The sequence below is a fragment of the Homo sapiens genome, chromosome 8 (assembly GCF_000001405.40).
Source record: "Homo sapiens chromosome 8, GRCh38.p14 Primary Assembly".
In the NCBI taxonomy this organism is placed as follows: domain Eukaryota; kingdom Metazoa; phylum Chordata; class Mammalia; order Primates; family Hominidae; genus Homo; species Homo sapiens.
The window spans coordinates 124,163,745-124,177,888 of NC_000008.11; the positions used below are offsets into that span (position 1 = coordinate 124,163,745).

The 14,144-nt window shown below is 42.4% G+C and overlaps 1 long non-coding RNA gene across 1 annotated transcript in view; it reads right to left on the bottom strand.

The window, feature by feature from the left end:
- The window catches only part of FER1L6-AS2 (FER1L6 antisense RNA 2), a 125,452-nt gene extending 117,674 nt beyond the window's left edge, over positions 1 to 7,778 (bottom strand). The window contains exon 1 of the long non-coding RNA NR_103547.1: positions 7,684 to 7,778. This is a non-coding gene — a long non-coding RNA (FER1L6 antisense RNA 2). The remainder of the gene's footprint in view (positions 1 to 7,683) is intronic.
- Between the last annotated feature and the right edge of the window lie 6,366 nt (positions 7,779 to 14,144).

The following is a 14,144-nucleotide window of genomic DNA, read 5'->3' on the forward strand; positions in this document are numbered from 1 at the left end:
TAGGTTTCCCAAAACTAAATTCTTGTTCATTATTCAACATTTTTAGATCTGCCACAAGTAGAACCACATGCTTCAGAACTAAAAACTCCTTTCAAAAAAAAAATCCTTGGGTTGGCACATCCAGTGGTTGTTGGTGATGTGCCAGAATTAGAATTAAAACAAGAGACTCCAATTTGGGTTTGAGGTTTTTTAAAAAACACTGTCACTCTCTCAGGAGTGAATGCACTTCTTCTACAGCTCCAAGTAAAAGTCTAAAATATGAATTTAAAAATTGGTTCAGAAATCTTACTGAAAATCCATTTCCATCACTTCTTTGAAAAATACGGATGGCATGCTAATTCTGTTTCTACCACCCCTGAGTTTGGCAAAGAAAGATTTGGACTATTTCCCAGACAACCAACTGAATCAAAAAGCATGATCCTTCCAGGAAACCTGAGACTACTAATTACCCAGACTCTGCGTTTACCTATATACTATGTAGATATGGTATGTTTGCGTCCTGCCCCTCCATTACTATGTGGGTGCTGAGGTCCCCCTGCTGAGAGAGCTGAATATTTTGTTTTTCTCCTGGCAATGTCATGGAATCGCAACTGGTCCGAACCCACTGTGATTTTGCCCACTCCCACGGAAAACACCTTTTCCAAAGCTGGAGGTAGCTTTGGTGCTTCAGAGGAAACTGAGGAGCAAACGCTTTATTCTCATCTGAGCATGACCCTTTTGTATACCCACTGAGGGCTGGAGTAATTATTTTAAACTACTTGGCTCCAAAACCCTCCTCCCTTTGTTAATTCAACTTCAGTTTCCTAGCCCCTTGCTGTACTCCCATTCCCCAGTGGTACTCACTGCTCCTTGTCATGACAGCCATCAGCCTTCTTGGCCTCTGTTGTTTTCACTGCTCCGTCCAGCAATGCCACTGCACCACCAATGCTAGAGACAGCTTACTGAATTCCTAGGGAGGCCTCACCTTCCCCTCACTGCCTGTCACTGCAGGCATCAGGCAGAGGCCAGGGCTCCCTTAAGGAGAATGTTACATATACATGCTGTTACCAGTGCATCACAGAGTTTGTGCATTGAGAAATGAAAACCTGCTCAATAAGCCTCAGATACGTGAATTAATTTATCCCAAGGCACCATGCTCAAAGCCTTCAGACTCAGCCTTCCTGCCTTGATCACAGTTCTATTCATCCTCTGCCTCACCCAATCCTGAACCTCTGAAGAGTGGAGGGCATCCTCCTCTACTGGTAGTTTGTGTTTTCCTAGAATTGTTTTTCTCTGGCTATGTGTAGCCATCAATACTGTTCCAGGGCAACCTCCTAGCTGGACTAGGTGTCCCCACATCCTTCCATCAGAACCTACTCAGAAATTGACCTACATAGAAGAATGTCCCTAATAATGTTGAGTGAAGAAAAATAAGGCGGGCACAAAAAATGTATGGAGTGGTTCCATCCTCTAATTTTATTATTAAATCTTGTCGTTTGGTAGGCCTGTGTCCCTGGCTGTGACCTTCACAAGTATCTTAGCTCCCCCTCCTCCCACTACCTTGAGTAAAACAGGAAGGCTGAAGGGTTCTGGGCTCTGGCAAATGCCCTTCTCTCCAGTGGAATAAGGGTCTGGTGAAGTCTTTTCTTTTGCTGGTTAGGTTTTTGTTATGGAGGATAATCCGTGAACTTTTCAAAATGGTTATTTTCCCTTAGCCCCACCGAAGCCACAGGGGATAATTCCTGGGTCCTCATCATGAGATGCTGGTAGGGTTCCTGGAAGTAAAACCCATGAAAATGTATCTCCCACAAGACTGTGGCCCCCAGGAATTTATGACTCTCAAGCTAGTCCACACCCAGCCTCCAGAAATTAGTCAGTACTATCATTTAAGGGTTCTTTCAGCTTATCATTCCAGACGCATCTGTTCCAGGTAAACAAATTTTTGCTGTGACTCTCTGGATGTACCTATCTCTCCAGATTTCAGAGTGGCTGTTTGCTTTGTGACCTCAATCTCCTGGTAAGCCTGATAAAAGGTACTGATTTTCAGTTTGTTTAGCTTTTTTCTTGTAAGAACTAGAGTGATGACTTCCAAGCTCTTACATGTTAGAGCTAAGACTGGAAATATATTATTTATTTTACAAAGAGTTTTATTATTTTAATTAAAAGAAAAGCTTTTAAAAAAAGATATCCCTCATAGTAATCTATCTTTGGTCCTTAAGTAAAATGGCTAATATCATCTTACTTTAGCAAGGAGCTACACCTGTAAACCTAATAGGAATTACCAACAGAATTAACCTCTCCCATAAAGAGGCAGAGTTGCTACGCCCTGGAGCAGTCCTCCTCCTGCCTTAAATAGCTTTCTGAATTCACTTGGCAGCTAGTTCCCTTGAACCAGGGCAATCTAGGAGCAAGTGATTCTAGAAATTCAAGAAGTACCACCTCAATCTGCTCCTCCTCTCTCTGCACATCCCAACACCTATAATGAAAGGCACAGTCCTCCATAATACAAGCATAATCATGGTTTCCTTTCCAGATACCCATGGATGAGAAAACTTAGTGACAAATACACACTGAGGTATACGCAATTGATAGTGGTTATCTTACTGAAAGCAATCTCTTCTATGTGAGAAGAAGAGCTATGTGGGCACAGAGGACCATAAACAGGGAATGATTCATTCATGCTGGGAGAGAAAGCTGTGGAAATGTGCAAAGCCTTTTTCTCCAGCCCCACCCTGCTGCTACCTCTGAAGACTTCACTCCTCTCTCCCTGAGAAACTCAGCAAAGGCCAGCAAAATAGTACAGGCTTCACCACAGCGCACAGAGAAAGGGGGTTTAGCAGCACAGAAATTGTACCTGCTGTGAGACTTGGTAGTTGCTGTGAAGAATCAAACTTCTTCATGCCTTTTAGTTTTGGTATCCTTAACTATAAAGTGGAAACAAAACCTCCTACTTGGGCTTTTCTGACACCATCCTGGTGGGGCTGTTGGGGCACCTGTATTGAATTTGGTTAGTGTGGAACTCTAGGCTCCTCACCTGGACTTTGCTGATGAGGTTGGATTTGCAGTTTATTTTGTGTTGTTCAGCTGAGGTAGAGGAGTTATTGTCTAAGTTTTCTGTCTTGCTAGGTTGCTGCTGTTTGGATAGAGCAGGTTTCTCTTGGGGCTTTTAATGTCTCTGCCCAGTGATATTTCCGAATTGCTGTCTTTATCAGCTCAACTCTGGGATAAAACAAAGGCAAAACAAAGAAAGCCAAACAAAATAACAAAAAGAGGGACTCATCATGGTGTTATTCTTTGGGTCCTGAGTTCCTCTCCAGCCTGCCATCTTCTCTCTACCTTCCAGGGTCTTCTAATATTTGTTTTATATATTACGTCCAGGGTATTTGGTTATACTCAATGGAAAAAATAGAAACACATCTCCATTTTCCTGGAAGCAAAACTGCCATCTTGTTTTACAACCTGCTTTCAGTGGAATGCCTTTTCATGCAAATATAGCTCATATTATCATTTTAATGGTTGTACATCATTCCATTACACTGATATGCATTGCTTTGACTAAATCAGTTATCTGATTAGATGTACAGAGTCCTCCCTACCTCCAACAGATTTCTTCTACTATGAATAACACTGAAGTGAATATCTCAGTAGCTAAATATTTGTCATATTCTTAATTATTTCCTTAGGCTAAGTTTCTGGACACAACGCTGCTGGATATGTACATTTTAAAGCTTCTAAAAAAATGCAACCAATTGCTCTTCAGAGATCCAGAAAAATTATAGCAAATTATGCTATACCAGCAGCGCTCTGTGCCTTCAATATTAATATTAATATTAAAAATCCGGCGAGGTAATAGTGGCATATCACTTTTCAAAAATTACCATTATTTTGTTACTTGTGAGACTCATTTTGAGGGCAATTAATTATATTAGTATTAAATTCCTAAGCAGTAGGAGGGGCAGTGGGAAAAGCTAAAAATGGAGGCTTGAAAGAGTCCACCCCATGTAGACGAGAGACATGGTAGGTGTGATATATCATTGTAATGTGGTAGACAGTGGCCAGGGCCTGGAGTACCAGGTGAAATCAGAGGCACAGGATTGGAGAGTTGGAAGAGCAGCTCTAACACCAGGTTTCTTCTGTCATTCAAGAGCTCATTTAATTTTTCTGGAATTCTTGGGCTTGTTTCCTAAAGAAGCATCTGTCACCCATCAGAAATTGATAGTTTCTAATCAAAGTGAATAGATTGAAAGCATTATTTGTTGTTTCATTAACTACTGGTCTTATGTAGATACAGGAATACAAGCACACACATGTGCACATACACACACACACACACACACACACACACGTGCACTTAGCCCCGTCCTTATTTATTCCTGGTCTTCTGTTCCATGCCACAATTAGTGTCAAACTATAATGAGCTCAAGTCACAGTTGGGCTGCAATGACAGTCACACAGAGTGAGTGCAGGATAACAGGGGTTGAGCCTGGTTAGGAGAGAGAGGGCTTTCTTCACAGCATTTCTCAGCACCCTCTTAGATTTCACCACCGACTATCTTGCTGCACAACAAGCTAACAAAAACAACAGTGACTTGCATTTGTTTCCAAAGCATTTCAGTCCAGGTCCCTGAAGTCAGGAACTCTCCAGGTGCCTTATTCCCTAATTCTGAACTAGTGACCACCCTACATTATTGCTCTATTTCACATTGGCTGAACTGGAATACATTGAATTATATTTCATCACATTGAGTTGTCTAAACTCTCAAAATAAAGGGGACCCTTAGTAGCGATGGTGGGCATCTCAGGATAACCAGTACCCAATCCCTTAAACATGCACTTGTTGCTTCAGGATATTTTATCTGAAATTATTAGATTTCCTCGGAACATGTTGTGTCAGATATGCTAAAGGCTAATCTGGTATTTTGGAGTACATAAAACATGAGACTTCATGCCAAAATGGACTCATTCCTTGAAGTACTATTGTAGATTTGGGTCCTACAAACAGAAAATTTCATAATTTTTTGTCCAATTCTCATCAGTAAAAGGAAAAAGTAAGGTGCATTTAAAATTGTATACATTTAGTTATATAATTTATTCCTGACAGCAGAATACTTCCATTTTGACTAGATATTAATGAAAACCAAATATACCACTTACAATTTTATACATTTAATGGCTAGAATAATTTAACCCAGAGTAACTTCTGGTTGCTCCTGGCCTTGTTTCAAACTATTTCTCCTTCACCGCTCACACACCTACAGTGCCAAGCACAGGAAGATGTGCGCATACAGTAATGCAACCTCCAGCTCTGCCACTGCGTTGCTGCAGCTGAGCTGCCACAGTGAAGACTTGGAGGGATTTCTGGAAATCAGCATGACCTCCTGGTCACATCGGGTGTCCAGGTGCAATGCTAGCTCACATTTCCTGATTCCTGCATCCACAAGGCCAGCTACTCTCTAGCTCTTCCACCTGAAGTTGCCCAGCTCTGGGACTGGGTGTATTCATTTCTGGAAGAGAGGTATGGAGCCCCACCCCATTCTCCAACCTAGAATTTTCCAGGGAGAGCTCTGCACTTGGGGTTCTTGATCACTTTTCAGCTGGCACTTTCAAAATTGCCACTGAATCCCGTCTGGTTTCTTGGACTGCACTTTAATAGTTAGAATCCAGATGCAAAGGAAATAGATTCTTCATCCCATGACCACCTCCCCCACCAGGTTTTGATCATTTTATAGATGAAAACACTACAGTTCAGAGGAATCTGGCTCACATTGGCACAATTAACAAATGTCAACAGAGAGACTGGGCATATACATTTGCCATCATGGCCCCCAAACCTCTCAACCCCTTGTCTACCCTTTGGTAATGTTTCACATTATGAGCCCTGCCATTCCCAGAACTCACAATCCTAGATTGCTTTACAGGTCATTGCACACGTGACTTAGTTCACACCAGTTAGATTCACACAAGATCTGATGAAAAATGAATTATCTAAGGAGGTGCCCTCACGCTGGGAAAGCAAGTATATTAGCAGAGGTATCCACTTTTGTGGGCACTGCAATGGTGGATACTCAGTCTGGTCCCAGTGAGGCTTGTGTCAGGGTAGTGATAATGGTGATGGTGGCAGTGCCGCAGCAGCTCCCATGGCACCTATCCTGACTATATCACTTCAGAGCTCTCTGAGCTTCCTCAGATTGGGACCTACTGAATATCTCTAAATAAATCCCTTTATTGCTTGAAATAGCAAGGGTTTATTTTGTTGTTTGCAAAACAAAGCCTGCCCAATGTTAACTGGAGCTCAGAATTTCAGATTACCTGAGGCCAGGCGCGGTGTCTCACACCTGTAATCCCAGCACTTTGGGAGGCTGAGGCAGGCGGATCACGAGGTCAAGAGTTCGAGACCAGCCTGGCCAACATGGTGAAACCCCATCTCTATTAAAAAAAAAATACAAAAATTAGCCAGGAGTGGTGGCAGGCGCCTGTAATCACAGCTACTCGGGAGGCTCAGGCAGGAGAATCGCTTGAACCTGGGAGATGGAGGTTGCAGTGAGCCAAGATCATGCCAGTGCACTCCAGCCTGGGCAACAGAGTGAGACTCCATCTCAAAAAAAAAAAAAAAAAAAAAAGATTCAGATTCCCAAACTCAGAACTCTTCCCCTGCCATGCTCAGGGATTAGCTTTAAACCCACAGCTTCCTTTCCTCCAGATGAGTAACTGAAGATAAAAAACTGAGGACACCTGGAAAGAGAACTTGGGACTCGGGGACTCAGTCCAAATGGACAGCCTTGGATAGGGTGACACAGAGGAAAACTGAGGTCACTGCACCCCACTAGGGAAAGCAGAGGGAGAGGCAGGAAGCAAAAGAATTATTAGAAAAGGAGAAGAGAACTCAGATTACTGAGTATTGGATTCGTGCCAGGCACAATATTAGGCACTTTATAAACAGCAAGTAAAAAAAAAAAAAAAAGTATATAAGATAGACAGATATTCCCAGCCTTTCTCACGTTCCCACTTGGTAAGGAGGATTTTTAACTAGGTATATATATATTTGTTTTACAAAAATAGCATCACACTCTGCCCTAAGTTGTGTCTTTGAGTATGCCTGTCATGTCTAATGTTAAGTCATGCTGTTCTTTTCACATTTCTGCTGGTGGCAAGGCATTCTATTTGTGTGGATGTACAGTCTGCCCTCCATATCTGAGGGTTCTGTATCTATGGAATCAATACTGGAAAATATTTGAAAAAAAAATGCAACAATAAAAATACAAATTTTAAAATATAGTGTTAACAACTATTTACATAGCATTTACATTGAATTATGTATTACAAGTAATCTAGAGACGATTTAAGGTATGGGAAACTGTGTGTAGTAGGTTATATGCAAATATTGTGCCATTTTATATAAAGGACCTGAGCATCCTCAGATTTTCGCTTCTGTTGGGGGGTCCTGGCACCAATTCCCTCCATGAATAGTAAGGGACAGATGACTATACCATAATTTAAATGATCCTATATTGGTTGGCTTTTATATTGTTTACAGTTTCTAACCAACATAATCACTATTATAAATACTATGATATAAAGACCTTTACGTATATTAATTTGCTCACTTGGCTGAATACTTCTTCTGTATTAGTCCGTTTTCACATTGCTATAAAGAGTACCACCTAACACTAGCTAATTATAAAGCAAAGAGGTTTAATTGACTCACAGTTCCACAGGCTTAACAGGAAGCAGGGTAGCCGGCTTCAGGAAACTTAGAATCACAGCGGAAGGTGAAACAGAAGCGTACACGTCTCACGTAGCAGCAGGCAAGAGCGAGCTGGGGAAACCGCCATTTATAGAACCATCAGCTCTCGTGAGAATTCACTCACTATCACGAGAACAGCTTGCGGGAACCGCCCCTGTGATTCAACCACCTTCCAACAGGTCCCTTCCTGGACCTGGGGATTATAATTGGGATTGCAATTCAAGATGAGATGTAGGTGGGAACACAGAACCAAACCATTCAACTTCCATGGGCTAAATGCCGAATTACTAAATCCAAGAATTACTACACCATTACTAAGGTGCAGGGTAAAAGCCCCTGAGAGTAATAATTTAAGCATACAATTAGAATAAACCTGTATGGCAGACGCACCTGAATGTGTGTTTCAAGCTAGGGAATCCAGGAGTGGCCAACCCAGAGATTCATTCCTTGTTTATGAGAAACATCTGAGTCCCCGTCCCGTCCCGTCCCGTCCCGTTGAACATGGGCCATAAGGAAGGATTGAGGCCCTGAGTTTGGGCGGCGGGGGGGGGGGGGGGGGGGGGGGGGGGGTACCTGAAAGTTGCCAGGTGGAGGTCGTTAAGGGGAAGCTGTTAACTGAAAATGCTATATAAACTACACGCTGTTTGCAGGCCGTTGTGTTTTTCCTGCCCAGCCTGCCACCACTGGCCTGGATATAAGGTGGATATCTTGTCCAGCCCGGTGCCACTGGACTCTCTCCCCTGTATGTAAGCCGCTAATAAAACCCTATGTCTTGTTTGCTGGGTTTCTGGCCTCTTGAACCTGGTGTCTTCCCTAATGAGGTTAATAAAGGTTCGGCACAGCAAAAGGTGTCATGTAAATACCTTTAAGGGTTTTGGCCTGAATTGCAAAATTGCTCTCCCAAAAGGCTGTAGCACTCTTCTCCTACAAGTAGTATGTAAGACTCTGTTTCTCCATACCTCCCCCAAGGCTAGCTATTATTCTTGTAATCTTTGCCAATCTGATAAAAAAAATTGATTTGATTTTTTTGTAAGACTTTGATTACTAATTAAGGATGGACATGTTGGCTTCTTGTTGAGCACTTGGTTATCTCGGCACACAGGAAATTTCTTTTCTTTTTAACTCAAACACAGGATTTGAGGTTCCTGAACACCTGGTATAACAGAAAACTGGTTGGGCACGGTGGCTCTCGTCTGTAATTCCAGCACTTTGGGAGGCTGAGAGGGGAGGATCACCTGAGGTCAGGAGTTTGAGACAAGCCTGGCCAACATGGAAAACCCCTGTCTCTACTAAAAATACAAAAATTAGCCTGGTGTGGTGGCACACACCTGTAATCCCAGCTATTTGGGAGGCTGAGGCACGAGAATCACTTGAACCCTGGAGGCAGATGTTGCAGTGAGCTGAGATTGCGCCATTGCACTCTAGCCTGGGTGACAGAGAGAGAATCCATCTAAAGATAAATAAATAAATAAATAAATAACAGACAACGGCTCCCTCTCATTCTCCCCAGTTGATTACAGGACCTAGCAATGTCCTGTAGAGTAAATTCTCCTCCCAGCCTGCCTAAGTGACAGCCCATTACTCAAGCTGAGCAGGGGCCCACCTCTCAATCGTGCTGTCCAATCCCAGCTCCTCTTTGAAATAGCAACTTGTCTGTAATGGGAATTTTCAATCCTGGCTGCATATCACCTGGACTAAACATTTTTTATTCTTTAGTTTAAATTTTTTTTCTTTTAAGAGTACATAATATATTACTCACGTTTTTTAAAAACACAGAGGGAGATTCAGTTAAAAGTCTCCCTATTATCTGTGGCCCCCATCTGCCCCATTCCCCTCCCTATAAGCAACTGATGTTACTAATTTCTCATGGATCCTTCCAGAGATATAAACAGATATTTAAAAATGCTCTTTTTGGGGACCCACGCCAGAATTTCTGAATCAATTTCTGGGATGAAGAATCTGGAAACTTGAATTTTTTTGAAAAGCCCACAGTATTGTTGAATTATAATCAGGGTTTAGAGCAACTTCTTGAGTATATCATTCATTTATGCATTCAACCCACATTCATTGAGCATGTGCTTTTATGTGCCAGACACTGTGCTGGGTGCCAGGGTGAATCAAACAAAGTTGCTAGTCTCATGCAGCTTTGATTATAGTGCAGGGAGAAAGCAGAAAAAACAAACTGTAATTATTGAAAAATTGAGAAGTTCTATGATGAAAACTAAAGCAAAATAATGGAAAGTCTTCCAATTGCTTTGATCACAACTTGAATCTCCTTCTTTCTCATTTAACCTTTCTTACCATCTCCACTGGAGAGCAGGTGAGAGACAGAAAGAAAAAAAGGCAACATTTTTCAGGAAATTAGATTATTCCCAGAGCCCAAATTCAGAACAAGTTTGAAGCTGGTGCCCAGGGTTCTTCCCATGTGGTATTTATTTCTCTTCATTAGCGCTGATTGTTGAATTCTTCATAATGGCTTAGAAATAACGTTAAGAAATGGCAATTTGCTCATTACTCGGAAATAGAATGTCGAATTTCTTCTTTCTCTTCTACAATTCAGTAAAGCCTATGCTAAATCATTGTAGGGGCTCTGGGAAGCCTACCCGGCATCTGAGAACTTGTGGGGAGCAGAGGGTGTCTCTTTCAGAGTCAGGGTAGCACCTAGTGTCTCCTAGAGGGAAAGGCAGCAGGAGGTCCACTTGCCACTGACACTTGAAAGATTCAATTCTACAAAAGACTAACATTATCAACATGTGCCAGGCACTGTGTGGTAGGTACCATTATTATCCCACTTAAAAATAAGGAGGAGGCCAGGTGCCGTGGCTCTTACCTGTAATCCTAGCACTTTAGGAGGCAGAGGCAGGTAGATCACTTGAGGTCAGCAGTTTGAGACCAGCCTGGGCAACATGGTGAAAGCCCCATCTCTACTAAAAATACAAAAATTAGCCAGATGTGGTGGTGGGGGCCTGTAATCCCAGCTACTCAGGAGGCTGAGGCAGGAGAATCTCTTGAACCTGGGAGGTGGAGATTGTAGTGAGCCGAGATCACGCCACTGCACTCCAGCCTGGGTGACAGATTGAGACTCTGTCTCAAAAATAAATAAATAAATAAAAATAAAAATAATTAGGAAACTCAGAGTTAAGCAGCTTATCCAAGTCATCCTGCATTCAGACCTAGGTTTGCTAGGTTTGCTGACATCAGTTTGGTATACCCCTACTACCCCTCAAAGTTTTGCCTGGAAACTTAAATGAGACAATCTATCCATTACGTTCTCCAGAATGGAAGCTGCCTTGTTTTTTTTTTTGTTGTTGTTGTTTGTTTGTTTGTTTGTTTGTTTTTTGAGACGGAGTCTAGCTCTATCGCCCAGGCTGGAGTGCAGTGGCGTGATCTTGGCCCACTGCAAGCTCCATCTCCCGGGTTCACACCATTCTTCTGCCTCAGCCTCCTGAGTAGCTGGGATTACAGGTGCCCGCCACTACGCCTGGCTAATTTTTCTTTTTTGTATTTTTAGTAGAGATGGGATTTCACCATGTTAGCCAGGATGGTCTCAATCTCCTGACCTCATGATCCACCCGCCTCGGCCTCTCAAGTGCTGGGCCTTGTTGTTTTTAACTGGCTAGACTCACCTAAATCTGACAGCTACAGACTCACATCCACCATTTTTTTGGAACCAAACTGATGAGAAGAAAGGAGGCAGAGGAGCGTAAAACCATGCAGTAAAGCCTGGAATTAGCCTGCCTGTTGCAAGCTGGGGCCCAGAGTGCCCCATCTGATACCCATGGGCCACACTGTGAGAAGTTCCTGAGTCAGCTTCCATTGTTAGTGCTCAGAAACTTGCTCATTTTCTCCTCCATATAACCATGAGTCACAGGAGGACTTACTCCTGTTACTATAGCGTCAGGCACAGAGGAGGTACTAAATGTGGAATGAATGAAGACATGACAGAATGAGCTGCCTCCCCTTCCCAGCTGCCTCTTTCAGGCTGGACCCAATCTGTGTGTCTTCAACTGCTATTCATTTTGCATTTACCCTTGCCATTTCACACTTAATTCTCACACCAGTCACTGGGATAGGAGGTATTAGCCCACTTTACAGATGAGGAAAGTGAGGCCTACAGTGCTTATGTGACGTCTGCACTGTTTGGAAACAGCTGGGGTAATTCCAGCAGCCCCAGTTCTGCTCCCTCCTCTTCCTTCCCCATCAGCCCTCCCTAAGGCCTCAGCAGACCTACAACCCAAATCCAATCTCTCCTCTTTAGCTGTGTCCCACTGTTACAGTTGCTGGTTTCTTCAAAGAGTTGTTTTTGTTTTGGTTTGTTTTAGAGATGGGATCTTGCTATATGGCTCAGGCTGAACTCTTGGGTTCAAGCCAATTCTCCCACCTCTTCCTCCTGAATAGCTGGAACTACAGGCATGCACCACCACATCTGGCTGGGGTGGTTTCTTTCAGGATCTTAATTCCTAATAACCAATAGATTTTAAACTGGCAGTGTCCCCAGGGCTGCTATTGGGCAATAAGCTTCTGCACTAACTCTATTTTGCATACTTTAATGTGCAGACAAATCACATGGGGATAATGTCGAAATATAGGTTCTGATGCATTGGACTGGAGCAGGATCCCAGATTCTGCATTTCTAGTACACTCCCAGGTGAGGAGAAGCTGCCTGTCTGTGGACCACACTTGAGTAGCGACAAGGCACTAATTCTCATTAGGCCCTGGCCTAGAAACAAATGTGTTTTGTTCCTCATTGTTAAAAGTTAAATTGTGTCCCTCCAAAAAGCTTATGTTGAGGTCCTAACCTTCAGGACTCAGAATGTGACCTTATTTGGAAATAAAGTATTTGCAATGTAATTAGCTAAATTGAAATAAGGTCATCCTGGAGTAGTGTGAGCCCCTAATTAATTGAATAAGACTGGTGTCCTTGAAAGAAGACCTCATGTGAAGACAGACACTGGGAGAACACCACGCAAAGATAGAGGCAGAGATTGGAGTGAAGCATCTACAAGAAAAGGAACATCAAGGACTGGCAGCTGCCACTAGAAACTGAAAGAGAGAATAGATAGAAGACTCTCCCACAGGGAACCAACCCTACCAACACCTTGATGCTGGTCTTCTGGCCTCTAGAACCATGAGACAGTGTCTTTCTACTATTTTAAGCCACCCAGTTGGTGGTACTTTGTTACAACAGCTACAGGAAACCAATACACATGTGAGCCCGAAGAAAATAAAAATTAGCCAAGAATGAGAAAGTAAAAATCTGCCTAAGGGATTGCAGAGATTTGGTCAAAGAATACAAAAGTTTCAGTTACACAGGAGGAAAAGTTTAAGAGATCTATCGTACAGTATGGTGACTATAGTTAAGAACAATGTATTTCATACTTGAAAATTGTGAAGAAAGTAGATTTTAAGTGTCCTTGTCACAAATAAATGGTATGGGGTTAATGCATGTGCTAATTAGTTCAATTTAGCCATTCCACAATGTGTACATATTTTGAAACATGTTGTACACCATAAATATGTATAATTTTTATTTGTCGATTTTAAAATGAGATTTGTGGGAATAAAAAGATACATGTTAAAAATTAAATATAAATTTAAAAATTCTGCCTAGCCATTCATCAGACTAAACACGGATTAGGCAGAATAAGGCAATTAAGACAACAGAAAAAGATAAGACAGAGAAGAATGCCGGCACAAATACATTCAACAGCTGCGTGGATAGGAGACAATATTTCTCCCCAGGAGCCACAACATGTCATAGCAAACCCTTCTCTGTGACTGTTACTTCTTACTCACTGAGGGACTTTGTGCTCTAAAATCATAGACTATTAGAAACATCACCATCTGAAATCATTTCAGTAAGAATGAGATAGCCCACTCTGGCCTGGAGAATCCAAGTCACTTTGACACAAAAAAGCAGCATCGATTTCCAACTCCATTACAGAGTTTCAGATAAGGAGTTTCTAGACACATTTCATGTCTACCTTCACTTGGTAGTTTCCAGGGAAACAGCAGCCTGCCTCCACTTTGCTGTTCAGAACTGATGGTCCCTTTATACACAGCCTTGATTTGTTTTGTGCTTATAAAAACTCTGCTTCATTTCAGCTCTCCCTGACCTCCATACTTTCCCCAATTCCTATGATAACTCCGTCTTCCTTTGTTTGGTGAGACTCTCCGTGATTCTGTGGTGTGTGATCTCCCTCATTACAATGTGTCAATAAATTTGATTCTGTCAGACTACGTGGTTGTCCCTGATGGTCTTAGGCTGGTTGGGCTGAGACACACTAATTTGATTTCCAGGGCTTACCATGTAGTAATGGCATCTTACAGCTGGGAACATCAGAAGGACCAGCTGTTAATGAGCTTGGAATTCTACCTCTTAGTTCTTTTCTTCTCATCCCACCTTTTTTCTCCTTTTCACT